The sequence below is a fragment of the Homo sapiens genome, chromosome 6 (genome assembly GCF_000001405.40).
Source record: "Homo sapiens chromosome 6, GRCh38.p14 Primary Assembly".
NCBI classification, from domain to species: Eukaryota; Metazoa; Chordata; class Mammalia; order Primates; family Hominidae; genus Homo; species Homo sapiens.
The window spans coordinates 43768030-43794014 of record NC_000006.12 but is presented as its reverse complement, the minus strand read 5'-3'; the positions used below and the strand labels follow the sequence as shown (position 1 = coordinate 43794014).

Below are 25985 nucleotides of genomic sequence, written 5' to 3'. Positions count from 1 at the left end.
ATGCTGGCTCCCCCAGCTGGGCCTCACCCAGCCCCTAGGAACCCTTACCCAACCAGGCGGCTGCCCCGTGACTGGCAATAGTGACCCCTGTCACACTTGTGTGTGTGCGAGCCCGTGTGGATGTACCCGTGTGAAAGAAGATCTATAGTAGGAGTCTCGCTCCAGAAGCGAGGACGCCTCAGGAGGGCATCTGCTGGGGCCAGACCTTCCCCACCAGTCCCAGCCTCAGGGGCCCAGCAAGCCCTGCCATCCTCTCTCTATCTCAGGCTGGCCAGGAGAGCAGCTGGGAGGGAACCCTGGGGAGTGAAGTAGGGGAGACCTGGGGTGGGGGTGGAGATGCCTTTGGGAGCCAAAAGCAAACACCCTCCCTGAATATTTCCCCAGAAGACATCCTCTTGTGGCCTCCCCAGGAGATGGCAGCTCCCAGCTCTCCAAAGTCCCAGGGAAGGGCTTCTCCCCTGCCTGGGTCCCAGAGGCCCTTCCATACCTATACCACAAATCATTTCACCTAAACATCCTGGAACAGACAGGTTTCCACCTTGAGGGAGCTTCTGAAGACAGCCCTGGGGGCATCCGTCCACTGCAGCCTGGCCCAAGCAGCCCTGCCCAGCCTCAGCATTTCTTGCCCAGAGCACAGCTGTGTGTATAAGGGTGGACATCCGGCCTCCTCCATCAGACTGGAGGTTCCCAGTGTGTTTGGGGGACCTAAGAGAAGATTGGCCATGCATTCTGCTCCTGTTCATTTGTTCATTAATTCTACAAATACTCATGCAAGCCCACCTTGTACCTGGTCCTGGGTTCAAAGCCACAGGGCATCATCCCTACCAGGAAGGGCTCTCCACACCCTCTTTTCCCTTCAGTCCAATCCCTTTCTCTCACTGCTGGGCTCCAGGGCTGAACCTGCCCTGGCGTGCCTCACTCCTCAGCAGGAGAGTAAGGATGCATGCTTGCAAAAATGGTTATAAAATCCAGCCAGACCATTTCAGGTTTTTTTAAAAAGTGGGAAAAAAGCCCCACAAACAACCAAAATGTACTAAAGGGGGCACTCAGAGAGGAAAAAGCATTGGCATGGAGACTAGAATAACAACAAGATGATAATGACTTTTTTTTTTAGGACATCCTATGTACCAGTCACTTCATGAGGTACTTTTACATGTCAATGTCACTTCAGGCCCTCAAACTCCATCATGTAGGTGTTACTGTGCCCATTTTAGATGAGAAAGTTGAGGTGCAGGCAAGTAATTTCTCCAGTGGCAGACCCAGGATTCCAATCTAGATCTGTCAGAAGTCTTGATGGGACTTAGGGCGGCCCAGATTAGGCTCTGCAGAGGCATCCAAAGAGAGGTCCCTATGGCCGGGCCTCACAGGGCATCACCTCCTCAGAAGCTTCCAGCCCCAGGACAGCTGGATGAGCTACAGACAGGGAGTAGGGGAACAGTCTTCCTGCAGGAAGTCTGAGGAGCTGATGAACAGGGTTCTCAGGCCTCTCCAGGAGAGGAGACAGGAGAAGCCCAGGAAAGGGACATGTGCTAGCATCTGCTCCACTTGGAGCCAGACCCAGGGACCGTCAGGGGATGTGTGGAGAAAATCAGGGCCCAGGCTGGTGAGCCACGCATGGCTGATGACAAACACAAGAGAAGCCCTGTGAGCATTGTGAATGCGCACCGAGAGTGGAGGGAAGGATGGGGTACCAGCATCCGGTGACTCCGAACAGTGCAACAGCCAAATGGTGGCAGGGTGGTGCCTTCCCGAAACTAGTATCCAAAGAAATGTCTGATGGCAGAAGCTCTGTCTCCTCCCTCAGATTAGATACTCTGTAAGGACCGGGAGCATCCTGAGGGCCAGGGCCATGTCAATCCTCCTTGAGACTGGGAGCTCCCTGGGAGCAGTACTTGCACTTCCCTCATAGAGAGACTAACTCCCCAAAGGCAAACGCAGCCTTTGAAAATCTTTGTCAGATCCCGGCCCCCTCTTGTCCTGGGAGACTCAAGCCCAGCCTTGCACCATAGGCACCTGTGCCTAGTGGGCCCTTTCCTCTGACTCACTGCTCCCTGGGTTCTAGCTCTTCCCCTTCCACGTCACCCCTTCTGTTCCTTCTCAGCAGATGCTCAGTCAAGCCCTGTCTTTGCCTTGCATTTTCCTTTTCTAGGCAGATTATAAATATTTACTGATTCCTTCCCTGCCCTCCCCTAGTCCCATGTCCTAATGGACAATGTCCTGCGGATGTAGCTGAATTATCTCTCTCCCAGCAACTCTGAAGCCAACCTGATGGAGCCTTCCAAGGGTCAGCCCATCCATCCCCCACCTCTAGGCTGGCTCATGCTAAAGCCCCTCCTAGTAAATGAGAGACCATCCCTGCACCAGGGCATAGTACATATGGCTGGTATTCCATAAACGCTGGAGGATGGAAGGAAGAAGGGAAGAAAAGGATTCCACAGTCTTTTCCTCCAAATCCCTCATGCTGTGCTCTCTGGCAGTTCTTCTCATCCTCTATCCTCTATCCCCCATGCTGTAGGTGAGGCCCACTTTCTCTTGGTAAGACTCCAGTACAACCAAGTCACTCTCCTCACTCTAGAAATTAGGACAATATTTTGTCCTGCCTGGGTCAGCCCTTACCCTGACTTCTCACCAAACTTACCACCATGGCAGATGCCTGGTCTCTGATTCCCTTATAAACACACCCTTCTTTCCTTGAACATCCCTCCATCCACTTCATGAATACCAGTTAAACCTTATGGATGGGAAGGGACAAACACCCTAATGCCAAGGAAATGACTGTTTTGTTAGATGGCTCAGTTATTATTGAGGAATAATAACCACCCCAAAACTTAGTAGCTTTAAACAACACAGTGCATACATTTGCTTACAACTCACTAAACTGGGGCAGGGATGGCTTCTCTCTACTTTATGTGTTGTTGGCTAGAGTGGCTCACCTGGCGCTAGGGAATCCAAAGTGACTTCACTCACATGTCTGGTGCCTCAGCTTCAGGTGGTTGGAACAGCTGGGAGTTGGCTGAGCCTCTCTCTCTCTCTCCATCTCTGTCTCTCTCTTCCTCTATCTCTCTGTTTCTCTTCCCCTATCTCTCTCTGTCTCTCCACAGTCTCTCTCTCCAGTAGAGTATTTGGACAGTTATAGCCTGGCAGCTGCCTTACAAGAGGACAAAAATTGACACTACAATGCCTAGACCTGAAAGTCCCAGAATATCTCTCTTGTGTTGCATTTTTATTCAAAGCAAGTCATAAAGCCGGCCCAGATTCAAAAAGAGGAAAAATAGACTCTACTTCTTGGGGGGCAAAGCACGTGGGCACAGGGATGGAAAGAACTGTTGACAGCCATGTTTGCACACTGGCCACCACAATGATCCTAACACACGAAATTGATCCAGAATCACCAAGTTTTGTATGGATCCACCCGTCAGCCTTTCAGTTCTTGTGGGAGGGAGGAGAGTGGGCCAGCAGGCTCTCTAAAGGCCTTTCAGGGCCGGGAGCAGGATGGGCAGCTCCTTGGAGAAGGGAGAGTCTCAGGCTAGACAGAGGAGAAGGAGCACTGGGTAGCTCCAGAGGAAACAGTGGCTAGACCAGGCGGTGTGAGTCCCACAGAGAGGAGATGATCTGGGAAGGCAGGGTAGGCCCTGGGACTTGCTTAGGTCTGGAGAGATCCTTGGGAATGGCTCCAGGGGGGTATCTGGGCAGGTCTTATACAACTGGGGGAGGTGGCATTTTCATGTTCTCCTTCTTTTCTCCGTGGTCTGTTTCAAGGCTGTTTCTCTCATCTAAGGCCGTGTGTTGCAATCTCTTGCATGCTTAGGTTTCCGATCTTCCACTGACGAGCCCCAGCCCCTGGAGACATCTCTTGCTTGCCTTGCCTTGCCTTACCACACTTGGGGAAGTCTGGATTTCAGCCCTGGGTTTGGCCAGCACTACATCCTCCCCCTGTCCCACTTTTCTTCTTCCCTGTTTGTATTGAGTCTAGACGATTCATTTTTATTTGTTGATGTCCTGCCCTAGCCTGAGGCAGCTGTGGTGTGGTAAAAAGAGCACTAGATTTGGAGTCAGAAAAGCTGGTTTAAATTCTGGCTTGGCCATTTACTGGCTGCGTGTAAATTCGGGCAAGTTATTTACCTTCTCTGAGCCTCCTGCTTCTCATCTGCCAAGCAATAATAATGAGCCCCATCCCCAGGGTGGCTAAGAGGAGACGGTACTGGCACTGACAAAGAGGCCTCTGCTGTAATCCCTACCAGCTGACTTTGAGTTCACTTCTTCTAGACAATCCCCACTTAAGTCCCCACCTGTCCAGCTAACCCTCACCAACAACTCCTGGCACCTCTGTAGAAATCCTGTACTCACCTCCGTAGTCTTGGGATGAAACCTTCAGGTCCAGGCCTCAGTTTCAACAATGTCAGTCATTTAACAAATGTTTATTGAGCATGTACTGTGTTCCAGGAGCTGGAGATACATTGAACAAAACAGACAAAAATCTCTTCCTTCATGGAGCTTGCATTCTAGTTGGGGGAGACAAACAAAGGGGGGAGTACATTTTAAAGCTATTCTGTCTGAAATGGTAGCCACTAGCCATGTGTATATTAAGCACTCGAAACGTGGCTACAACTAATTGAGACATGCGATAAATATAAAACACCCACCAGATTCAAAGATTTATTTTTTCTTTACACCCAATTTCTGCCCTTGGACAGACGCAAAGACTTAGTACCAAAAGAGTATACAATTTCTCATTAATAGGCTGGGCGCAGTGGCTCATGCCTGTAATCCCAGCACTTTGGGAGGCCGAGGCAGGTGGATCATCTTAGGTCAGGAGTTCAAGACCAGCCTGACCAATATGGTGAAACCCCCATTTCTACTAAAAATACAAAAATTAGCCAGACGTGTTTGTGTGCGCCCATAGTCCCAGCTACTCGGAAGGTTCAGGCAGGAGAATCACTTGAACCCAGGAGGCAGAGCTTGCAGTGAGCTAAGATTGCACCACTGCATTCCAGCCTGGGTGACAGAGCAAGACTCCATCTCAAAAAAAAAAAAAAAAAAAAAAAAAAAAAAAAAAAAACTCATTAATAATGTTTCCATTGATTAGATCCTGAAGTGATATTCTAGATATGTTGGAGCTAAAATAAATTATTAAAATTAATTTTACCTTTTTATAGCTTTCGAACTCTGGTGCCTGGAAAATTTTAAACTCCATAAGTGGCTCACACTATATTTCTGTTGGGTAGCACTGTTCTAGAGTCTGTCAGGTGGCTACAGGTACTAAGCGGAAAAAGAAGGGATGGTGAAAAGGAGGTACCCAAGTGTGGAGTGGGAAGGGGGGTCAATCGTAAATGCAGTGGTCAGGGTAAGCCTCACTGAGAAGGTAACAAGACTTGAAAGTGAGGGATCCAACAACATGGGTCATGTGTAGGAAAGAGTGCTCCAGGAAGAGAGGACAGCCAGTGCAAAGGCCCTGTGGCAGGAGCATGCCCACTGCATCTGAGGAACAGTGAAACCAGCATGGCTGAAGCCACGTGGCCAAGGCGGGGCCCGAAGTCATTGAGTAGTCAGGGAGGCAGCCCAAATGGTGCAGGCCTTTTAAGGCCATTTGGGTTTTTCTCCGAGTAAAACTATCTCTGGAAGGTTTTGAGTCAAAAGGTGCCAAAACTTAACTCACATTTTAACAGGCTCACTCTGGCAGTTGTGTGAGATTCAACTAAAGGAAGGCCAGAGGAGAAGCCAGGCGGCCAATTTAAAGGCTCCAGCAAAAATCCAGATGGGATGAAAAAAGCCCCTACCTGCCGGGCGCGGTGGCTCACATCTGTAATGCCAGCACTTTGGGAGGCCAAGGCGGGCAGATCACCTGAGGTCAAGGGTTTGAGGCCAGCCTGGCCAACATGGTGAAACCCCGTCTCTACGAAAACACAAAAATTAGTCGGGCATGATGGTGCGTGCCTGTAATCCCAGCTACTCGGGAGGCTGAGGAGGGAGAATCCCTTGAACCTGGGAGGCGGAGGTTGCAGTGACCCGAGATCGCACCATTGTACTCCAGCCTGGGTGACAGAGCAAGACTCCATCTCAAAAAAAAAAAAAAAAAAAAAAAAGCACCTACCTCCCAGGGCTGCTGTGCAGATTCAGTGTTAACCAATGTAGGGGTCGGCACGTGGTCAGTGATTGGGAAAGGAGCACTTACTAGACCAAAAGCTGCCTGAGGCTGAGACCTTGCAATGGCCGGCACTGCCAGTCACCAAAGGTGCTTCCCCACCACCAGCACAATTCCTCCTGGAAGACCACAACAGCCTCTACCGGCCTCTCTGCCTCCCATACTGTTGCCAGGCACCTATGGAAAAGTCTATCTGACTGAGCCGCTCAGTGTTTAAAACCCCTCGGCTGCTGCTCATCCCTGACAGGCCCTAGGCTCTTGGCATGGTGCTGCAGGCTCCCTTGGAGCTAACCCTTGCCCGTGTCTCCAGCCTCCACCCTGCCCACCCACTCCCTGCCCCTGCCCAAGTGCCACCTTCATGCCTTGCTCACACTATCCCTTCTGCCTGGGATGTCCTCAACCCTTTCACTCCGCCGCCCCGTTCTCCCTGTCTTCAAACCATACTTTAAGTGGCAGCCTAGAGATAATGTCATAAGACACCACCCCCCAGCCACCACCCCCAATACAACTCCCACTCCCAAGCTAGATCAGATGCCCCCAGCACATTTTATGTATTTTTCTGCTCATGGATTTATAGTTTTGGGTCTCCCCACCCACCCATCCTCACCAGATCCTTGAGGGGTGGAATTGTGTCTTATTCATAGCAGCACAATGACTGGCTCAATATTTATTCAAGCCATATCTATGGTTTGCAAGAATAAATGAGAGGCTAGAGGAAGTGAATTTGGAAGCACTGCCCTTCAGTGTCAAAGACCTGGATAGGTGCCACCTTACCCAGGAGCAGGACGTGAGAGAAGAGCTTATGGCAAGCTGGGGCAGGGAGTGTCCCATCAGTGGTGACCAAACCTATGGGTCCATCTTCCAGAGGCTCAAGGAACTCCAGGGTGTAAAACTATGTAAAATTAAGTTACACCCTGGAGTCACAGCCCTCCAGCAGCATCCCCCTCCCACTCCCAGCCTGTTGCAGCCAACAAGACCCCCACAGACAAAAACAGCTCTCTCCTGTCTCCTGGGCAGCAAGCTTGGAGACATGGCCAGTTCTTTCCCTGGCTAAGGGACAGGGGCCTGGATCATCTAATTCCTGAAGGCAGCACTACCAATTGCAAGGGCCCTTGGCTCCTAAGCTGTTTCTCCCCCTCCACCCATTCCCAGAGCTTCCCACCTTCTATATCAAGACAGGATGGATGGGTTCCCCCAGGACCAGCTCAGCCAAAATGGAAGGACTTTGCCCCCAGCACAACAAGGTGGGTCACCCCATATCCTACACATTAGACGTACCTTTCCCAGACCCAAGACAAATGCCATGTTCCCCAGAGGAAGAGGGAAAGGGGGCGGGAGGAAGTCTAGAGCAAGGATTCAATGGAGAAGGAGAAACCAAGAGGAGCTTTGAGATCAGAATTAAATTCTTTAATACAAAATGCTTTTTTTTTTTTAAGATATATCTGTATTTCTTTGTCGTTGTTTAAAAATAAATATGTACTACGGAATATCTCGAAAAACTGCACTAGAGACAAAGACGTGATGTTAATATCTTTTCCCCACAATTATTACGGATAAACAGTAGCACCAATAAATAAATGATAACAAATATTAAAATTAAAAAAGGAGAGAGATTTAGTATGTAGAATTCTCTATTTTTTCTTGTTTTGTTTTTACATATAAAAAACAGAATAGCAATGTCTATTTTATCAGAATCACATATATACATAAACATATATATATATATATACACACAAATACAAGTTGCCAAATATATATATAGTATGTAGATGTATATTGAAACCTTATTTCAAAGGAATGTGTGCTGGGGAGCCAGGGGATCGGGGAGGGCAGAGCTGAGTGTTAGCAAAATTAAATATCTGTTCAAGATAAGCTAGTGACTGTCACCGATCAGGGAGAGAGAGATTGGAAACATGAATTTTATATACAAAAACCGGTACAAATAAGAGAGCAAGAGAGAGCAAAAGATACATCTCATAAATAGTTGAAATTAAATATTAACCAAGAATACTGAAAAAAAACCCTACTCTTTAATTAAATTAACTGTTTTAATTTCTAATTAAAAAGGGATATTAAATAAGTACCGTATATAAAACACTTTCTCTTTTCTCTGCCTCCACAATGGGCACGTGGATCCTGCCCTGTCTCTCTGTGCCTCGGGAAGGGAAGGGAAGGACCAGGGGATGGAGGAAGGTCAACCACTCACACACACACAACCAGGTCTCCTGGGGGGACAGAACTAGTGGTTTCAATGGTGTGAGGACATAGGTCCTTTTAGGCTGCACCCCAGGAAGGGGAGCAGGAAGAGGATGAGGGCGAGTCCCAGGAAGGGGAGCTGTCATGGGCTGCTTCTTCCAACAATGTGTCTCTTCTCTTCGCCGGGACATCTGCCAGTGGTCTCCTGGGCAACTCAGAAGCAGGTGAGAGTAAGCGAAGGCCGCCCAGGCTCCTGAATCTTCCAGGCAGTGCCCCTGGGGGCGAGATGCGCGTGCAGCATGTGGAGGGAATCCCCAAAGCACAGCAATGTCCTGAAGCTCCCCAAACTCCTGGTCAGAGCCGGTGTCCTCATCCCTGTACCTGTGATCTGTCTTTCTGTCCGTCTGACCTGGGGTAGAGAGGCTCAGCGCCAGGGCTGGGTTTGTCGGTGTTCCCAAAACTGGGTCATATTTGCCCCCATGCCCTGGCCTTGCACATTCCTGGGCAGGGGAGAGGACCCTGGCCCCACCAAGTGGGACAAAAAAAAGATCATGCCAGAGTCTCTCATCTCCTCCTCTTCCCTGTCAGGATCTGAGTGGGAACATTCCCCTCCCAACTCAAGTCCACAGCAGTCAAATACATCCAGTGAAGACACCAATAACATTAGCACTGTTAATTTAAAAAAAGAATATATATATTTTATATATATAAAATAGAGATATTTATTTTTATATATATATAATATATATATATATAAATGTATGTATGTGGGTGGGTGTGTCTACAGGAATCCCAGAAATAAAACTCTCTAATCTTCCGGGCTCGGTGATTTAGCAGCAAGAAAAATAAAATGGCGAATCCAATTCCAAGAGGGACCGTGCTGGGTCACCCGCCCGGGAATGCTTCCGCCGGAGTCTCGCCCTCCGGACCCAAAGTGCTCTGCGCAGAGTCTCCTCTTCCTTCATTTCAGGTTTCTGGATTAAGGACTGTTCTGTCGATGGTGATGGTGTGGTGGCGGCAGCGTGGTTTCTGTATCGATCGTTCTGTATCAGTCTTTCCTGGTGAGAGATCTGGTTCCCGAAACCCTGAGGGAGGCTCCTTCCTCCTGCCCGGCTCACCGCCTCGGCTTGTCACATCTGAGGGAAATGGAAAACAAAGGCTGGGGTTAGGGCCAAGTGAGGAGGCCTGGCGATGAGGCAGGCGGCCTCCCCATTCCTGGGGGCCCCTGGGTCACTGCAGCCTCCGGCACCATAAGAGCAGAGAGGACAGGAAGGTGTGGTCCTGGGGCAGAAAGCCCCAGTATGAGAACAGCCCCAGCCCTGCCCTCAGGGAGCCCCGGCCTGAGCAGCAGCTCCACTCAGGGGCTCCCAGTCTACCCTCCTGAGCTTGCAATCTACTTGAGACAAGACAAGGACATGGGAACACTTTACAAAGCAACAAATGAACGGATACCAAAGAACAGTCCCCACTTGACATTTTAAGAGCTGATGGGTGACCAGAGCTGGATGAAGTTAATCAGAAGAGGCTCCCTGCTGAGGAGGGTTTTCAGTTCAGTCTCTAGGGGCTGGTGTGGGGAAGAGAGTGGGCAGATCTTCTGGGAGAACGCCTGAGGCAGAGAGGCTTGGCCGGGTGACCAACAATGGCAAGGGCCTGCCCTGGGGACAGGAGGCTCCCGAGGGGGTAGCGTAGAGCAGGAGGCCCCAGGAAGGTGAGGGACCATCTCCATTCCCCATGTCCCCTCCCACTGTGGCTGTAGGCCTCATCTCTCTTGAGCTGCCTGGAGGTTGCAGGCCCAGGTAACAGGTTGTCTTTCCTTTCAAATATGCTGCTTCACTTAGGATGGGGAGAGACAATTCGGCGGCTTCACTACTCCAGCTGAAGCAAAGGGGGCCTCCAAGAACTTTCTCAGCATGCCCCTGCCCCTGGGTGATTGTGAGAAGGAGGCAGAACAGGCCCTACCCTTCTGGGGAGCCCCGAAACGGAGTCCTAAGCCTCCAATTTTGGAAACTGATATTCCCAGATACAGCCAGCTTGGGGGTTGGGTAAAGGTATTGGGAGGTTAGAGTAACTTCAGTTAGCTCCCAGGTCACTTCACACAAACCCCCATCAGCAGAATAATCACCTAAAAACCCTAAAATGTCAAGTCCCTTATCTTTCCCAAGGACCCCTGGGGAACTGAGACTCCCCTCATCCAGCCCTGAAGTTAGGCAGAGCCCCCACCCCAGCACTAATATACGCCCTCTTGGTTTCACATAGGGCCAAGACAGACAGCACCCCACACCAACTACCCAGGCCTGGTTCCCAGCATCCCCTGAGCACACACAAGCCACAAGAACATTGCTGGGGGAGGGGAGACACTCCAAGGACTTCCCTAACACAGCCTCGGGGTGAGCTGGGGGTGCCTTGGCCCTGTCTAGGAAATCCCCACAAAGTCTTGCCTCCCTGACTGACGCTTACCCTGACCCCCAGGGCCTCCCTCACTCTGAGCACAGGCCAAGTTGGTATAAAGAACATAAGCTAAGGCATTAAAAGATGCCAGCCACCTGTCCCGACCCTGTGCTCCTGACCTCACCCTCTGAACTGAGTCACACATTCACTCATGCACTTGACACTTCCTTGGTCCCCAGTATGGGCAAAGGAAAGAGGTACAGATGCCCGGGGCTCACAAAGGTACGTAAACGAGGCCCGGGCTTACGGAGCTCACAGGCTAATGTCAGGAGAATGGGCACAGACCCCTCCCTCCACGCATCCTGGGGGCACTTGAAAATGTGTGGGCTGCTTGGGGTTGTCACCATGACTGGTGGAGGATTAAAGGTATCTAGTATTCTTGGATGCTACAGCTCCTTCAGTGTGTAGGCAAAAGTGCCCCATCCTAAACGAACAGCCAGACCCCTTGCCCTCAGAGCCCCAGTCTGAGGAGGGAGACATAGCCCTGGCCTGAGGGAGCCTCAGTCTGAGCGGGGAGACAGCCCTATCAGGGAGCCCAGGTCGGAGGGGAGAGACACAGCCCTACCCTCAGGGAACCTCAGTCTGAGTGGGGAGACACAACCCTTTCCTCAGGGAGGCCCAGTCTGAAGTGGGAGACTCAATTCCTTCCCCCAGCAAGAAACACTGAGTGAGTGAGAAGCCCAGCCATGCAGACTTCAAAGGGCCGAGGCAAGGCCCCAGCGAGAGCATCTGTGCTTTGTTGACATTGTCCACACCTGGAATCGGCTTTCAGCTTCTCAGCATTACTACCAGAGGTAGTAATAACATCAGGACCAACAGCCACTATGAGCAGAAGGACCACAGGACACAACACACAGCTTGCGTCCACACCACTACACTAAGCCACACCAGCCTACCACTCAGGCAACCAGGGCAACCTCGGAACAGGCCCCGCCAGGCTGGACCAGTGCCTGCAGCCCACCACAGGGGCCTTAAAAGCAGAGAAGGCAGCAGTCACCAGGCAGGCAGCTAGAAACTGAGCAAGCAGCTGGCCCCTCTCAGGCGCTCTCCCGCTCGCTCGCTCGCTCACTCTCTTTCTCTCTCTCTCTCCCCATCTCTGTGTGATGCCCCTCTCTGACTTGCTTGCCCTCTGGGAACCAACCTGCAAGTACGTTCGTTTAACTCAAGCTGCCTCGCCTTGCAACGCGAGTCTGTGTTTTTGCAGGAACATTTACACGTCTGCGGATCTTGTACAAACAAATGCTTTCTCCGCTCTGAGCAAGGCCCACAGGGACTGCAAAAAGGCAAAAGGAAAGACATCTAAGCTAGAGCATCAGCAGAGAGAGAGAAAAAAAATCACCATGCAACACCCCCTAACATGTCCGCAGCTGCACCCCCACCCAGCCGGTCAGCCCCCAGGCCCTGGAAGGATCCGAGCGCTACAGCAAAAGACAGAGAGAGCGGCGGAAAGAGGCAGCACTGGCTAGGACACCTGCCGCAGGAAGAGGCGGGCACAGACGGGCAGAGAGTGCAGGGAGAGGCTGCCATAAGGGGCAATGCTGTGTCTCTGGGAGACAAGGGTGAGTCTCAGGCCACAGGGACCCAACTGCTGTTGCCCCCATCGGAGCACGCCTTGACTCTTCACCTGCTGGGGATGGCAATCAGGGGCCACCTTCTCCCCGTGCAAGGCTCATGTCCAGGCCCTTCCACCAAGGTGGGCTAAAGTAGGGTGTGATGGGAGGCTAAGCCCGGAGGCGGTGTCCCCAGGCCAGGCCGCTGGTGGCCAGAGGGCCCAGGGCAGGGCCCACCACAGCCTCCGACCCAGAGGAAGAGGCTGCCCTGCAAGGAGGCCTCTGTGGGTGCCATGGGTTGGGCCGGAATAGGGGGCTCCCCTCCAGAGGCCCCACCTCCGTGAGGAGCCAGGGCACTTCCACCAGATGAAGGGAGGCCGCCACATGGTGTCTGATCCCACCCAAGCTCCTCCTTCAGCCAAGGAGTCATTCAGCAAGCTGCCTCCAGTCATTCACAGCCCTTCTTGGGCCATGTCTGCCCTCCCCACCACCCTCAGCTTCCAGACGAGTGCAGAAGCCTAGAGCAATGGAAACCAGTTGGGTGAGCAGGCACCTGTGCCAACATGGGCCCGCCACCAGTGCCCAGTGGGTGAGAGAAAATCGGTGCCCAGCCAAGCCAGGGTCCCCTCCCTTAATCCTCCAGGCCAAGTCGGCACCCCCATTCACCCCAACCCTGGACCAGCAATGCCACCACCAAATCTACCCGTTGGTGCCAATTAGTGGAGTGAGAGAGTGAGAGAGAGACACGGGCCAGGAGGATGAGAGCCAGGGAAGGACCAGGGGAGGGAGGCAGGGTTACAGGGAATGGCAGGCGGAGGTTGTACTGGGGGCCAGGGAGGCTCCAGGGCATTAGACAGCAGCGGGCACCAACGTACACGCTCCAGGACTTATACCGGGATTTCTTGCGCTTTCGTTTTTGCCCCTTTCCCTTTCCTCGAACTGATTTTCTGGAAAATAAAAAAACAGAGACAGAGAGAGAGCGGGGGCGGTGGGGGGAGTAAAAGAAGTGGTAAGGTGGGCAGGGATGGGGGAACGACCAAAGCAAAGCCACACAGGGCCGCTTCCCGGAGGAAGTGTCAGGAGGCAGGTGGTCTCTGGGGAGGCATGCGCGGGCGCACACAGGCGTGTCTGGGCAGCAAGCACTCGATGGCTCTTTCTTCTCCTCACGCTGCCCACCATGGGATGGCAAACCCAGCCCCTGACAAGGCTTTGGTGGGAAGCCGAGACTGGGTGGAGGGCACAGGACCCAAAGGTCTCCACACTCACAGTGGCTCCCAGTCCCCGGCAGGGGGCAAAGCCTGAGGGAAGGCTCTTTGCCCAGCAGCCCTGTCCAAGTCTGACCCTGAAGGTCCGGGGGTGATAAAAGGTAGGCCAGACTTTGGGGAGAAGGTCAGAGACCTGCCTGGATGGGGAGCAGGAGTGGGAGGGAGGGCTGTGTATCAGGCCTTGTGCCTTCATTTGCAACTGCGACAGAACCTCTGGGAATCCCGGTGTGGGGGAAGCGGCTACCTTGGGAGCTGGCACGGAACCAAGAGCAACACCAGCCTGCTCAGCACGACCTGGACTGGGAGGCAGGGCTGGGTGTCCTGGAGCCCTGGGCAGGCAGCAGGATGGGGTGGGAGTTAAGGAGGTCTGGGGAGGAGAGGCTTGGGCGGTACTTGGCAGGGAGTTCTCTCCCCAGCCTGTCAAAGCCTGCTACACCATCTCACCAGACACTCTTCCGAGCCCAGGCGAGCCCCCTACTCTCCCCATGGCAGAGCAGTCATTTGGGGAAACAGGAAGGGGGGCAGGCTGTAGCCTGTCCCCTTCAAGAGAACCAGAGCTCTCCATGCCTGCCAAGCCCAAGAGAACACACCTCAGGATGTCTGTCACAGGGAAGAAAGGAGGGGGAGAAGGGACCAGAGAGGGCAAGTCTGTCCCCCTTAGGAGAAAGCACCAAAGGGTGGAAGGAAGGTTTCCGCATCCCCTCGCTCTGGAAGCTGGGAGCTGAGGGAAGAGGCAAGGGGTTGAGGCCTGGTGGGGGCTTCAATGTCCGCACAGCACTGGAGGCAGACAAGATGGTGTGGGGGAAAGGGCAGGGCACAGGTGCTCTCTCTCAGTCTCTCTTTCCCTGCAAGCTCTTGCTGATGCCAGCCGCCCACCCTGTCTTGAAGGGTTACTGCCGCCAGACCTTGTCCCCCACCCCATCCTACCTGCCCCTTAACACGGAGCACTCACAAGCCTCTGAAAATGACCAACATTCAACTTTTTCTCCCTGGCCAAGAGGGCTGTGTGTCTGCCGCCTGCCGCCTACAGGAGGGCATGCACTGAGAAACCACCCTCCAGCCGGCCTCGCATCCAACTGCACCGTCACAGCAGCCACCAAAAGAGGCCATTTCCTCTGACACACAAAAGCTGGCCTCTCTGCCACCCACTCCCTCTCCCCACTGTGGGTGTCCTAGAGCAAGCCAGTGAGCCAGTGTCCACAGTGCCCCCTGACACACCGAAACAGCAAGTCCTGGTCAGGAATGATCTGGAGACCCAGAAGGCATTGTCCCTTCCAAAGGAAGTGCCAGGCTCCTGGCTATGTTTTCTCACTAGCCCTAGAGCCATCATCCTGGAGTTGGCTCCATCCCATTGTTGCTGCCACCACAAGTCCCCCACAAGACCAAGTCCCTGACCCAGGGAGGCTATGGGAGCCCCCAACAGAGGTAGCCAAGAGCCCCAAACCAAGACAACCGGCCATGGAGAGGGAGAAGTGCTAAAGTCAGGGCCACTTACTTTTCTTGTCTTGCTCTATCTTTCTTTGGTCTGCAATGGGTAGGGAGAGAGAAAAGAGCAAAACAGGGAAGGGTTAAGATGGTGATGATAATGATAGGGATAACAACAATAATAATCACAGTAAAAACAGCATTTATTATGGAGCAACACTGTTTTAATCTTTTCATATATAACTTGTTTAATCATTATAACAATGCTATGAAGTATACTACTATTGTGCCCATTTTACAGATGTAGAAACTGAGGCACATTGAAGTAAAATGCCAAAGGTCACATAGCGGGAAGCTGGACGGGGGCCAAAAAGTACAGCATGCTTAACCCTGGCACAGATCAGGCACCCTGCAGCCACTTGCTGATAATGAATCCGTGACTACATCCTCACCTGCATTCACATTTGTTGTGCTGTAGGAAGCTCATCTCTCCTATGTGCTGGCCTTGGTGAGGTTTGATCCGCATAATCTGGAAAGGAAGGAAGCAGATCACAGAGGTTAGTGACCCAGCCAGCCATACCCAGATGGGACAACCCTGGGGCTCCTGCCACTCAGCACCCAGGGGTTCTGCAGAGCAGGGATGGGTGGTGGAGGCAGGGAGGACCAAGAGCTCTAGCAGGAAAGAGGCTCAGGCCCACCCCAACTCCCCCAACCCTGCTGGCCTCAAGGAGCCCTTGTTCCACTTGAGGCCAAGACATGGCTGCAAGGGTTGGCCAGGCTGGGAATTCAAATCCTAGGTTCTTACCACTCCCCATCCCCTCCCCTTCTTTCATCCTCTCTAGGCTTCACCCTGACTCCTAGTAGATACCCGAAAGCAACCCCCTCCCTGTGTTTCACAGCTCCCTCCCACCCTATCTGGGCTGAGATGTGCCCCATTACCAGGTAACACCAAAAGACTTTTTAAACTCTCCATGGACCAGGCTCATCCAGCTTCCCAAACAAAGCCCCCAAGAAGGGGGGGCACTCAGGACTCTCTCCAAGAGAGGGAGAGAGGGGCTCCTGACACAGGCATCCATCTGTCCCCTCCTGAGCCCATGGGCAACCATCAGGGAGAAGGAGATGGTTGGGGCTTGCTGGGAACCTGGGCTGGGAATGAAGCATCTTCTCCACAGAAGGCAAGACCCCACCATACCTCCCCTGTGCAACTCAGGGGCAGGAGCCAGACAAGGCAAATCTAGCCAGGAAACGACCTGGGACCACCTGTTCCCAAAGTGTTACCCCCCTCCCTATCCCCCCCTTGCCCCACTTCCCAAAGATGCCCACCTGCATGGTGATGTTGGACTCCTCAGTGGGCACACACTCCAGGCCCTCGTCATTGCAGCAGCCCCCGCATCGCATCAGGGGCACACAGGATGGCTTGAAGATGTACTCGATCTCATCAGGGTACTCCTGGAAGATGTCCACCAGGGTCTCGATTGGATGGCAGTAGCTGCGCTGATAGACATCCATGAACTTCACCACTGCATGAGAGGCGATGACACATGAGCCCGGTGGGCGACACAAAAGATGGCTAGCCCCTCTCTCCACCCAGCTCTGTAATGCCACTCTTTGGAGCTTCCGAATCAGGCAAGTCCTTCCAAAATCTAACGTAAGTCCCTCCTACTGTGTTTGAAGCACTTCCCTAAGCTTTCCACCATCAACACTGGTGAAGGCCTGTTTTCATTCCAGAGATCACACGATGTACTCAAGTTCCAAGGGACATGGCCTGCCACATCTGATCCCGCCACCTCACTGTGACAGCTGAACTGAATCCTGGGCCAACCTCGATGCCAGAGGACAGTCTGAGTATGGGTATACCCCATGGGGATGCTCTAAGCTTTCCCTAAAAGGAGGAAGAGCCAGCTTTGCCAAGCTAGTCTCCAGTTTCCTACGTCCTCCCCACAACCACTACCATAACGTCAACCATACCAACAGCTGTTTATTGAGCACTTACTACATCCTGAGTACTGTGTACAGTAGTCCACAGCTATCATTTCACACAAGTTTCTCCACATGGTACTATTAGACACTATTGAGATTCCATTTTACAGATGGGGAACAGGAGGCTCAAAGAGGCTAAGTAAGTTGCCCCAAGGCCGCACAGCTAGTAAGTAAAGGAGTCAGAATTAGCTGACATCAAAGTGTTCCCAAGCCTATATTAGGCAAAAACAGAGGAGGCACCTTTCAGGAGGAGGCACCTTTCCCCCTGCCAGTCCTCTTCCCCAGACATGAGCTGAGAAGGTGGTGGGCATCAGCACAGGGGCTGGGCCCTCCTGGAACCCACAGGTGGCAGTGGGCGGACACGCTGTGCCAGCCCTGCCAGCCACTGATAACCCCGCCCAAGAGGGCAAACTGCTTGCATCATGGAAAAAACAGTGCTGCCACTGTAGCCACGAAACATTTCTAGAAGCTGATCTGAAGGGAGACCAGGGTAGAGACAGTTTCCCAGGCTGGCCACGAAGCCTGGGGTGCACTGGAGCATGAAGGGGTAATTCTGGGCCACAGAGGCGGGGCCCTTGAGAATAAATAAATGCAGGACTCTGGCATGACTACTCCAAATTGTGGCCCAGCCTGCCACGCCTATCGCACCCCACCACCACTACCACATAGCAATCCTGTCCCTGAAATAGGTTCCCTACCCAGAGGGAAGAAATAACACCTGGCCAGTGAGGAGGCCCAGGCTCTGGCCATGAGTTGGTATGACCTTGGGCCAGTCCCTCCCCTCTCTAGGCCTCCAACTCTGCTCAACTGTGTAAGTGGGTTGGGCTGATCTCTAAAGATGCTGAAACAGGCTGAAAAAGGTGGTGTTTTGGCTTCCATTTCCAGCCCTAGGAACAAGTGCTCTTTTTTCAGCCTGGGTAATATGAAGTTTAGAACTTCACCAAAGCATCTTAAGTGTATGCTTCGTGGACTTCCACCCCAGCTCCCAACCCCCACCCCCCAGAGACCACAGCTGAGCCTCCCCCTCACTCCTCCCTCCAAGGTCTGCTTTCCAGAAGAATAAAGGACAATGAGGGGGGCTATGTACACAATAGGTTGATTGGGAAGAAGGTGGGGAGAAGGCCACAGGTGTGAAAACAGAAAGAACAGTGGGGAAACAGGCCAGTCCACTGCTTCCTGTGAGGTCTCTATTTCTTTTATCCAGACCACCAATGGGCACAGAATCCTTCTCTACCCACGAAGGGTTACGGCAAAGCATCATCAAAAAGAGTGAACGAGACTAGAAGTCTGAAAAGGTCATTTTTTAAAGCCAAGTCGATAGGGGAGAAGATGACTAATCAAGAAGTTTTGAACTGCCCCTTCATCACAATTGGGACAGAGGAGGGCCAGGCTTGTGGCCCAGGAGGGGATAGCAGGAAGGTCTGGCCTGGGCAAGGGGTTGGTAACTGAGGGTAAAAAGACCTGGGGTAGGAATTCCCCCAAAAAGCTTCCCCTTGGAATGAATCCCCAAGTCCCATGGGAGGTGGAGGCGGGGAACCTCACCCGCATCCTTCATCAGGCAGCCGCCCCTCCAAGGAGGGCTGGCCTCCACTGCCTGGGGGAGCACACACGTACACTCCAACAACCAGGCTTTCGTGGTTTTCCTTATTTATCGCAGACAACCTTTTCTCCAGCAAACAAAGACCTTTGTCCTGCCTCTCCCAGACCAGAGACCACTGGGAAGCTGGAAGGGGTAAGTGGCGCACTGGAAGCAGGGGGCCGGTCAGTGGCTGAGAAGCCAGGTCCTAGGCCAAGGAAAGGGCTCCTGGGGTGGGGAAGGAGGAGGCAGAACAGGCTGGGCATCACCACTGCTGGCCACTACCCAGCCACGCCAGATTTAGGTCAGGGAAACTCGCGGGAAGGAAGACCCCAGGGCCTTCCCTCCCCAGAGGTGGAGAGCACAGGCCACAGTCAGTGGTGGGGAGAGCCAGGGTGTCCCCAGAGAAATGGGAGGATCCAAACCACAACGGAACAAAAGGCAGGCGGACTCGGGGTTGGGCAGGGGGGCGGGGCGCCTGGGAGCTACAGCCAGCCCTCTGCTGGCCTGGGAGGGAAGTTCACAGCACCCGAACATAGTCAAATGGGGTTTTCTCCACCCCCAAAGGAATGCAAACCAGGGAAGGGAGGAGAGATCCCATTAGGCTGAGCCCTCTGTGCCTCCAGCTCACACAGGAAGGGTCACAGTTCCCACAAATGGGACATGTCTATATAGGAAATGACACTAAATGTCCACTCTCCCCTGGGAGCTAGGGGAAACAAGGGACACTTCCCCCAACACCTAGGATCCCTGAACACTGTCTTCCTGCTCTGTGCGCACGACTCCTTCTCCAAATAAAATTTTACTGGAAAGAGCAGAAGAAAAAGGCAACAAGTCCTACTTCTAGCAGAGACCTGAACAGCGGAGAGTCCTCACGAAACTGAGGGTGAACCTCGTGGTGCCCAGCTCTTTCTTTCTTGATCCTTATATTCCTGTGCCCCTTCCCCTTCCTCCCCACAGTTCTGAAGAAAAAGGAATTAGGCCATCCACCCATCCCCTGAGAGGACAGGGAACCCCATCCAACAGCCAGGGGGACTCACCTTCGTGATGATTCTGCCCTCCTCCTTCTGCCATGGGTGCAGCCTGGGACCACTGAGGACAGAAAGAGAGCAAGGCATGGGCATGGGCAGGGGCTGGGGTGCACAGGCCCAGCCACCCAGCCCCTCCTCCCTCCTCACTTCCCTCCCACCAACAGCCTCTGGCTTCTCCAAGTCTTCTGAGTCGAACAGGACACAACCGGGGGTCCCCACGGGCACAGAATATGCCCACCACTCCTGGACTGCTATGGTTATGAACCCGAGGAAGTTAAAGACTAACCAGATGTTGGGGGCTGGGGAGCTCGAAATGCAGGAGGAAAACCCCAGAATGCTTCACTGTCGAGGTCCCCTGTACCTTCCCCACACTTCCCTCTCCCTGCTCTCACTATCCCCCTAGTTCCCTGGTCCAAAGCCATGGTAAGTATTAAGGTCAAATAGGAGGACAAATTTGGACTGGGGCAGGAAGGAAGGACTAGGGGCGAGAAAAACAACATGGTGACCTTCTCCTGCTGACATGACAAATACCAGGGTGAGCTGGTGTTGGAGACGGAGGGGGGTGCCGAGGACCGAAGGGCACCAACCACCCTCCCCCATCCAAGCTCTTCTAGTCCTTAGGAATAACCCAGCATGCCCACAGGTTGCTTAGAGGGTAAAAACCCAGGAGGAGACCCTGGGGGAGAACCACATTTTCCTCTCTACACAAATCTCTCCAGAGCCTCAATAGATTTCCAAAGCCTCACCTGTCTCCCACTCCTACCTGTTCCCTGGTTTCTTCTCCCTCCCAGGGTGAGGAGGTGCCAAGCCCCTCTCACCTGGGCACCTTCAAATGCCACCAGGGACCAGGGAAGGCTTTTATGCCTTGGCACTGCCCAGCCCCTAGGGGGCCCCCTGCACCACCTTAGGCCTGAGGCCTCCTCTAACCCTCCCCACCCGCATCAGATCATTCCTCCCCTCGCCAGAAGCTGTGAAGGTCAACACGCCAAGACATGCGGACCTGACAGCACCCAAAAGGAAAGGCTTCTGCCAGCCCTTCCTGGGGGTCTCCAGCTCTCACCAACTCCCCTCCCGCCCAGCACTCGCAGAGCAGAGGGGCACTCTAGCCTACGGAACACCAGACCCTGCTAGGGGAGAGTCCCACTGTCCATCTTTCTTTCCCTCTCCTTCCCACACACCCCAAATGCACCCCACTCAGGTACCCCAGCCCTGCTCCCAGAGACAGCCAAGGTCACAGGAAGCCCCTCTCAAGAGAAAACAACAGTTACCAGGCTTCCAGCTGGACAGCTTACCACTGCGGCTCCTGCAGGGACCCCCTGGATTCTGCACCTCAGCCCCCTCACCCATTCCCATGACACCCCCTGCCTTCCCCCTGACAATATTCTCCCGGGACCCTCCACTCCTCCTGGGCCCCAAGGAGGAAAGGGGACGGAAATTTCATACCCCTTCCAAGGCCAGGGAGCACAGGAGGGGCGGTTCTAGGCAGGCAGGGGCCAGGTGTCCTTCTCTGGGGGCCTCTGAAGGTCACACTGTGGCCAGGCAGCCACTCCTCCCCCTCCTCCCTACTTGGAGGCCTGTAGCCAAGGCCTTTGTGCCAGGGTCTGAGGAACTTGCGGTGTTAGCAGCGACCCCTGTCCATGGCTTTCCTCTTGCCTCCTCTCCAAGGGAATTCTGGCTGAGGGAAGGCGTCAGAGAGGAGCGGAAAGGGACCCTTTAGAGTCCCTTTCAGAAGCAAGTTGGGTGGGCAGGTTTGGAGTTCCAAAAAAACACCTGCTCCAGGGCTGCCTTTCACCAGGACAAAGTGTGTGCAAGGCTGGCAGGAGCTCCTTTCCAGGGTTCAGGAAGGACTATTCCCATGCTGCCCGTGTCACAGCAAATTTCAAGCCATTTCTCCAAAAGGGTAAAGTGGGGCAATGACTCTTCAAATCCTCCCTTGACCCACCCCCACGAGAGCTAAAGCACAGCTCACTCGGAACTGTTGGCGAGGGAAGGGAAGCACACTGTCACCAAGTCGGGACTTTCGGTGGAATGTGACAAAGCGCCCAGTGGGCTCCCGCGCCACGACTTCTGACAGTGATCATCCTTTCCCTGGACTCTGGGGCCAGAAAGGGGTTAGATGGATCTTCTCCGCAGAGAGAAATGAAAATAAGCGGGGTGACAGGGGCTTCTCTCCAGGCTAAAAAGGAAATGGGTGAAGAGAAGGGGCGTCAGGAAATTCCTCCTAGCACTGGGCAGAGGTAGGGTCTGGAGACAGTAGGAAGGGGTAGGGATGGTTCTCTGGATCCCCGGGCTGGGGCTACCTCGAGAGGTCACCTTCCCGCGGAGGGCTGGCGGGGGGAGGGGTGCCGCTCGCCACTCTGGGCTCCCCATTCGGGCAGCCGAGGCTCCGGGAACACGCGGCCGGCCAGGCCCGGGCTGATGTAATCGGCTCCGCGCCGCGCGCACCCGGCCGGGCGGGGGAGGGCGGGCACCGAGCGGGACGCGAGCGGGGACGGGCGGGGTTGGCGCGGCGCAGGTGGCCCAGCAGGGAGGGGGGGTCCCCGCAGCAATCCACCCCAAAACTTTTCCCAAACTCGCGGCGAGGGCTGAAGAGACCGAGTGGCAGTGACAGCAAGCCCCCTCTCCCTCCTGCGCCCTGCCCCCTCCACGCTCTCTGCCCTCCCGCGGTCCAAGGTCCGAGCACCCCCTGCCCACTGGTCTCTGGCTCCCGCCCCCGCTGCTCAGACTTCCAGTTCGTCCGGGACCAGCGGCCGGGAGCAAACTTCAGCCGGCAGCGGCAACGCAAGCCCAGCCCCCTCGGCCTCCTCCTCCGGCTCCCGCCCTCGGCTGGTCGGCCCAGATCGTACGTGCGGTGACTCCGGTGGGTGGGCAGGGCCCGCGTGGGCGGTGAGCCTCTCTCCGGGTACCCTCCCACCTAGCGCGCGCGCCCCCTCCCCCTGCACCTAAGACGACAGAGGGGGACGCCGCACGCCTGGTGCCCATGGACCCGCGTGGGGCACGGAGCCCCCACGCGCGCGCTCGCACGCACGTCCCCAGCCGGGAGAGGCGCTCGCAGCGGCCCGCGGCGCCAGCAGGGCACGACCGCTTACCTTGGCATGGTGGAGGTAGAGCAGCAAGGCAAGGCTCCAATGCACCCAAGACAGCAGAAAGTTCATGGTTTCGGAGGCCCGACCGGGGCCGGCGCGGCTCGCGCTCCCTCTCCGGCTCGGGCTGTGGGGCGGCCCGCTCTCCTCGGCGCCTCGGCGAGCTACTCTTCCTCCCCGGCCCGAGGCCCGGGCCAGGGCCTGGGGAGCGCGCGCGGCTGGAGCACTGTCTGCGCACACCGCCGCCTCACCCGTCCATGAGCCCGGCTTCCGAGCGCCGAGTCGCCACTGCGGCCCCCTCTCCTCTTCCTTCTCTTCTTCCTCCTCCCCCTCCTCCGGCTGCGGCTCCTCCCGGCCCGAGCTAGCACTTCTCGCGGCTCCGCTCGGCTCGGCTTCCCCCGCGCGGACCACGGCTCCTCCGAAGCGAGAACAGCCCAGAAGTTGGACGAAAAGTTTCAGTGCGACGCCGCGAGCCCCGACCCCCTCCACCCCGCCTCCGGGCGCGGGCTCCGGCCCCTGCCCGCGGCTCGCCGCCGCGTCCACTGTCCGCCGCCGGCCGGGGAGGAGGTGGTAGCTGGGGCTGGGGGCGGTGTCTGTCTGTCTGTCCGTCAGCGCGACTGGTCAGCTGCGGGATCCCAAGGGGGAGGGCTCACGCCGCGCTCCGGCGGTCACCCCCAAAAGCAGGTCACTCACTTTGCCCCTGTCGCTTTCGCTGCTCGCACGCCCGCGCGCTCTCTCTGACCCCGTCTCTCTCTTCCTCGACTTCTCTCTGGAGCTCTTGCTACCTCTTTCCTCTTTCTGCTGGTTTCCAAAATCCACAGTGATTTGGGGAAGTAGAGCAATCTCCCCAAGCCGTCGGCCCGATTCAAGTGGGGAATGGCAAGCAAAAATAAATTAAAACGAGAAACAATACAGTTTTAAAAAAAAATGTTTAAGAAAAAAGAAGAGGGATAAAACCCGGATCAATGAATATCAAATTCCAGCACCGAGCGCCCTGGCCGGTGAGTCCGCTGACCGGTCCACCTAACCGCTGCGCCTCCCGACAGAGCGCTGGTGCTAGCCCCCAGCGCCACGACCTCCGAGCTACCCGGCTGCCCCAAGCCTCCGCGATCCTCCCCGCTACCAGCCGACTTTTAAAAAAAAAAGGGGGGGGCGCATGGCTCCGCCCCGCCGGGACCCCGCCCCCGGCCCGCCCCGGGGGGCGGGGACAGGCGAGCCTCAGCCCTTCCACACGCGGCTCGGGCCCGGGCTCTGCGGACGCTCAGTGAAGCCTGGCCCGCAGCCCGCCGCAATGAAGGGGAAGCTCGACCCCCACCAAGGTTCACAGCCTGAAAATTACCCATCCGCCCCCGGAAACTCTGTCCAGAGACACGCGCCCGCGGGGCATTGGCGAGGAGGGAGCAGGAAAGTGAGGTTACGTGCGGACAGGGCCTGAGAGCCGTTCCCTCTTTGCTAGGAATATTGAAGGGGGCAGGGGAAGGCGGAGAGCCGGACAGGGACGGGTGGGGAGAGGGACACACAGATCTATTGGAATCCTGGAGTGACCCCTGGCCTTCTCCCCGCTCCAACGCCCTCAACCCCACACGCACACACTCACTCACCCACACAGACACACACGTCCTCACTCTCGAAGACGCTGCTCGCTCCATTCACCCAGCTTCCCTGTGGTGGCCGAGCGCCCCCTAGTGACTGCCGTCTGCACACCCCGGCTCTGGCTAAAGAGGGAATGGGCTTTGGAAAGGGGGTGGGGGGAGTTTGCTCCTGGACCCCCTATTTCTGACCTCCCAAACAGCTACATATTTGGGACTGGAGTTGCTTCATGTACAGAGAGCCCAGGGCTGGGCACAGGGGCCACAGTGTGTCCCTCTGACAATGTGCCATCTGGAGCCCTCATCTGGCCTGCAGACATCAAAGTGAGCGGCAGCCAACAGGCTGGAGTGACTGGGGTCCTTTGGGAAGTGTCCAGGGATGCTTCCCAGGGGAGAAGAATTTGGCACCAAGTTTGTGGAGCTGAGAACGGGAAGCTGTGTGGTTCCGGGGTTAGTCAGTGACTGGGAGGGAAGAGGACCTGTTGGAGCCCACGTATGCACTGTGGAGTCTGGCAAAACCCAAAGGGGGAGGCAGCTGGGCAGACAGAGGCCCTTGTTCCTGCTGCCCCCCCAACCCCAGATGTTGCCAGGGAACTGAGGCCAGGGGGCTGGTGGGGGCGGGTGGAGGCCAGGGCCTGCGTGATGATTCAAACCTACCCGCCAGCACTAAGGAACGTCTGTAGGCCAGCTGCCCAGAGCTCCCACCAGGCCAGGGGCCAAGGCTTCTATCAGCCCAAGCCCAGACTCATAGCTCATCTTCTGAATAGAAATGGGGGTTTCGTCTCAGCTCCCCCATTCCCTCAGGATCCCTTGGCTACTTCTCCAGGCTCACAGCTTCTCCCCTATCCTTCCCCCAGTCCCCTCCCTTACCTCCAAGCCCCCTTTTCCTCCAACTCTCCACATCTTCCCTAAGTGCTCCCAAAGGCCCCATCCCATTCTTGCATATAGGAAGCAGCTTGGAAAAATTCCTAGCTGGTTTCTGACCTGGCTATTTCCAGGCTGCCCCAGGGAACAAAGTTGGGGCTCTGAGGCCTGTGGGAAGAGTGGGACCAGTCAGTCTGATTATCCACCCAGATCTTGCCAGGGTCTGGCCTACAGCTGGCATAGCCTCTGTGGAGGCATGGACTGAGAATGGGAATGCAGCAATTTCCCTCAATTTAACCAAAACGCTCCAGGGAGCTTACCTAGTCAGCCCCATCCTCAGCACATGTTGCTGTGGTTTGGTGGAGGTGCTAGGTTACCTCCCCAGTACCCCCAGTTCCATCGGTATGGTGTCCTAAGGCCCTTATGAGGAAAAGGGCTGGCTCCCACCCACCCCAACCCTCCCTTTCCATCATTCGTGCACTAGTCCTGTCTCCACCACTTGGCAGGCTCCCCAGCAGCAGGGACAAGGTCTTTGTACAGTTAGTAAATGTTTATTTCCTGGCTCAGGGCCCCCTCCCAGGCAGGCCTCCTCACCTGGGCTCCATGCTCTAGGCTGATGAACGGGATATGGAAGGGAAGCCACTAACTTTCCTCCTTGTGCGCCTCTAGCACCCCAGGAGCACAAGCTGTAGACATCTTGGGGCAGGATGGAGGCTCTGAGCCCTAAGGGCTCATTCTGGCCCCCTCCCTTGCATCCCTTCTCAACTCGGCCTTCTTCAGCCCCTAAAAGAGCCAACAGACCTGAAAGAGCAGGTCTTAGTAAAAAACAAATAAAC

The 25985-nt window shown here is 55.0% G+C and overlaps 1 protein-coding gene across 20 annotated transcripts, besides 9 other annotated features; it reads right to left on the bottom strand.

Annotated features, from left to right (window-relative positions):
- VEGFA (vascular endothelial growth factor A) lies at positions 7528-23804 on the bottom strand. Of its 20 annotated transcripts, none has more exons than NM_001025366.3 (8): positions 22703-23804; positions 19623-19674; positions 16350-16546; positions 15479-15555; positions 15097-15126; positions 13161-13283; positions 11928-12059; positions 7528-9474 (listed from the first exon to the last, which is right to left on the bottom strand). In NM_001025366.3, exons 1-8 carry the CDS (start codon positions 23306-23308, stop codon positions 9453-9455), a joined length of 1239 nt encoding a protein of 412 aa, NP_001020537.2. In that variant the 5' UTR covers positions 23309-23804; the 3' UTR covers positions 7528-9452. The 20 variants fall into 10 exon arrangements, with proteins under 20 accessions (NP_001020537.2, NP_001165094.1, NP_003367.4 ...); NM_003376.6 differs by having other exon boundaries at positions 13212-13283; NM_001025367.3 differs by having other exon boundaries at positions 13230-13283.
- Positions 18969-19263: an enhancer, noted in NCBI's record as "tiled region #8365; K562 Activating DNase unmatched - State 1:Tss". NCBI's record gives its function as "activates a minimal TATA promoter and a strong SV40 promoter by Sharpr-MPRA in K562 cells {active_cell/tissue: K562}" and the evidence as "EXISTENCE:reporter gene assay evidence [ECO:0000049][PMID:27701403]".
- Positions 20316-21081: an enhancer, noted in NCBI's record as "H3K27ac-H3K4me1 hESC enhancer chr6:43740671-43741436 (GRCh37/hg19 assembly coordinates)". NCBI's record gives its function as "activates a minimal SCP1, AML or CMV promoter by ChIP-STARR-seq in naive H9 embryonic stem cells {active_cell/tissue: H9 hESC(naive)}" and the evidence as "EXISTENCE:reporter gene assay evidence [ECO:0000049][PMID:30033119]".
- Positions 21082-21847: an enhancer, noted in NCBI's record as "H3K27ac-H3K4me1 hESC enhancer chr6:43739905-43740670 (GRCh37/hg19 assembly coordinates)". NCBI's record gives its function as "activates a minimal SCP1, AML or CMV promoter by ChIP-STARR-seq in naive H9 embryonic stem cells {active_cell/tissue: H9 hESC(naive)}" and the evidence as "EXISTENCE:reporter gene assay evidence [ECO:0000049][PMID:30033119]".
- Positions 21835-22354: a silencer, noted in NCBI's record as "silent region_17243". NCBI's record gives its function as "represses an Ori minimal core promoter by ATAC-STARR-seq in GM12878 lymphoblastoid cells {active_cell/tissue: GM12878}" and the evidence as "EXISTENCE:reporter gene assay evidence [ECO:0000049][PMID:35858748]".
- Positions 21835-23379: a biological region, named in NCBI's record as "H3K27ac hESC enhancers GRCh37_chr6:43738373-43739138 and GRCh37_chr6:43739139-43739904".
- Positions 21848-22613: an enhancer, noted in NCBI's record as "H3K27ac hESC enhancer chr6:43739139-43739904 (GRCh37/hg19 assembly coordinates)". NCBI's record gives its function as "activates a minimal SCP1, AML or CMV promoter by ChIP-STARR-seq in naive H9 embryonic stem cells {active_cell/tissue: H9 hESC(naive)}" and the evidence as "EXISTENCE:reporter gene assay evidence [ECO:0000049][PMID:30033119]".
- Positions 22425-23364: a silencer, noted in NCBI's record as "silent region_17242". NCBI's record gives its function as "represses an Ori minimal core promoter by ATAC-STARR-seq in GM12878 lymphoblastoid cells {active_cell/tissue: GM12878}" and the evidence as "EXISTENCE:reporter gene assay evidence [ECO:0000049][PMID:35858748]".
- Positions 22614-23379: an enhancer, noted in NCBI's record as "H3K27ac hESC enhancer chr6:43738373-43739138 (GRCh37/hg19 assembly coordinates)". NCBI's record gives its function as "activates a minimal SCP1, AML or CMV promoter by ChIP-STARR-seq in naive H9 embryonic stem cells {active_cell/tissue: H9 hESC(naive)}" and the evidence as "EXISTENCE:reporter gene assay evidence [ECO:0000049][PMID:30033119]".
- Positions 23742-23991: a silencer, noted in NCBI's record as "silent region_17241". NCBI's record gives its function as "represses an Ori minimal core promoter by ATAC-STARR-seq in GM12878 lymphoblastoid cells {active_cell/tissue: GM12878}" and the evidence as "EXISTENCE:reporter gene assay evidence [ECO:0000049][PMID:35858748]".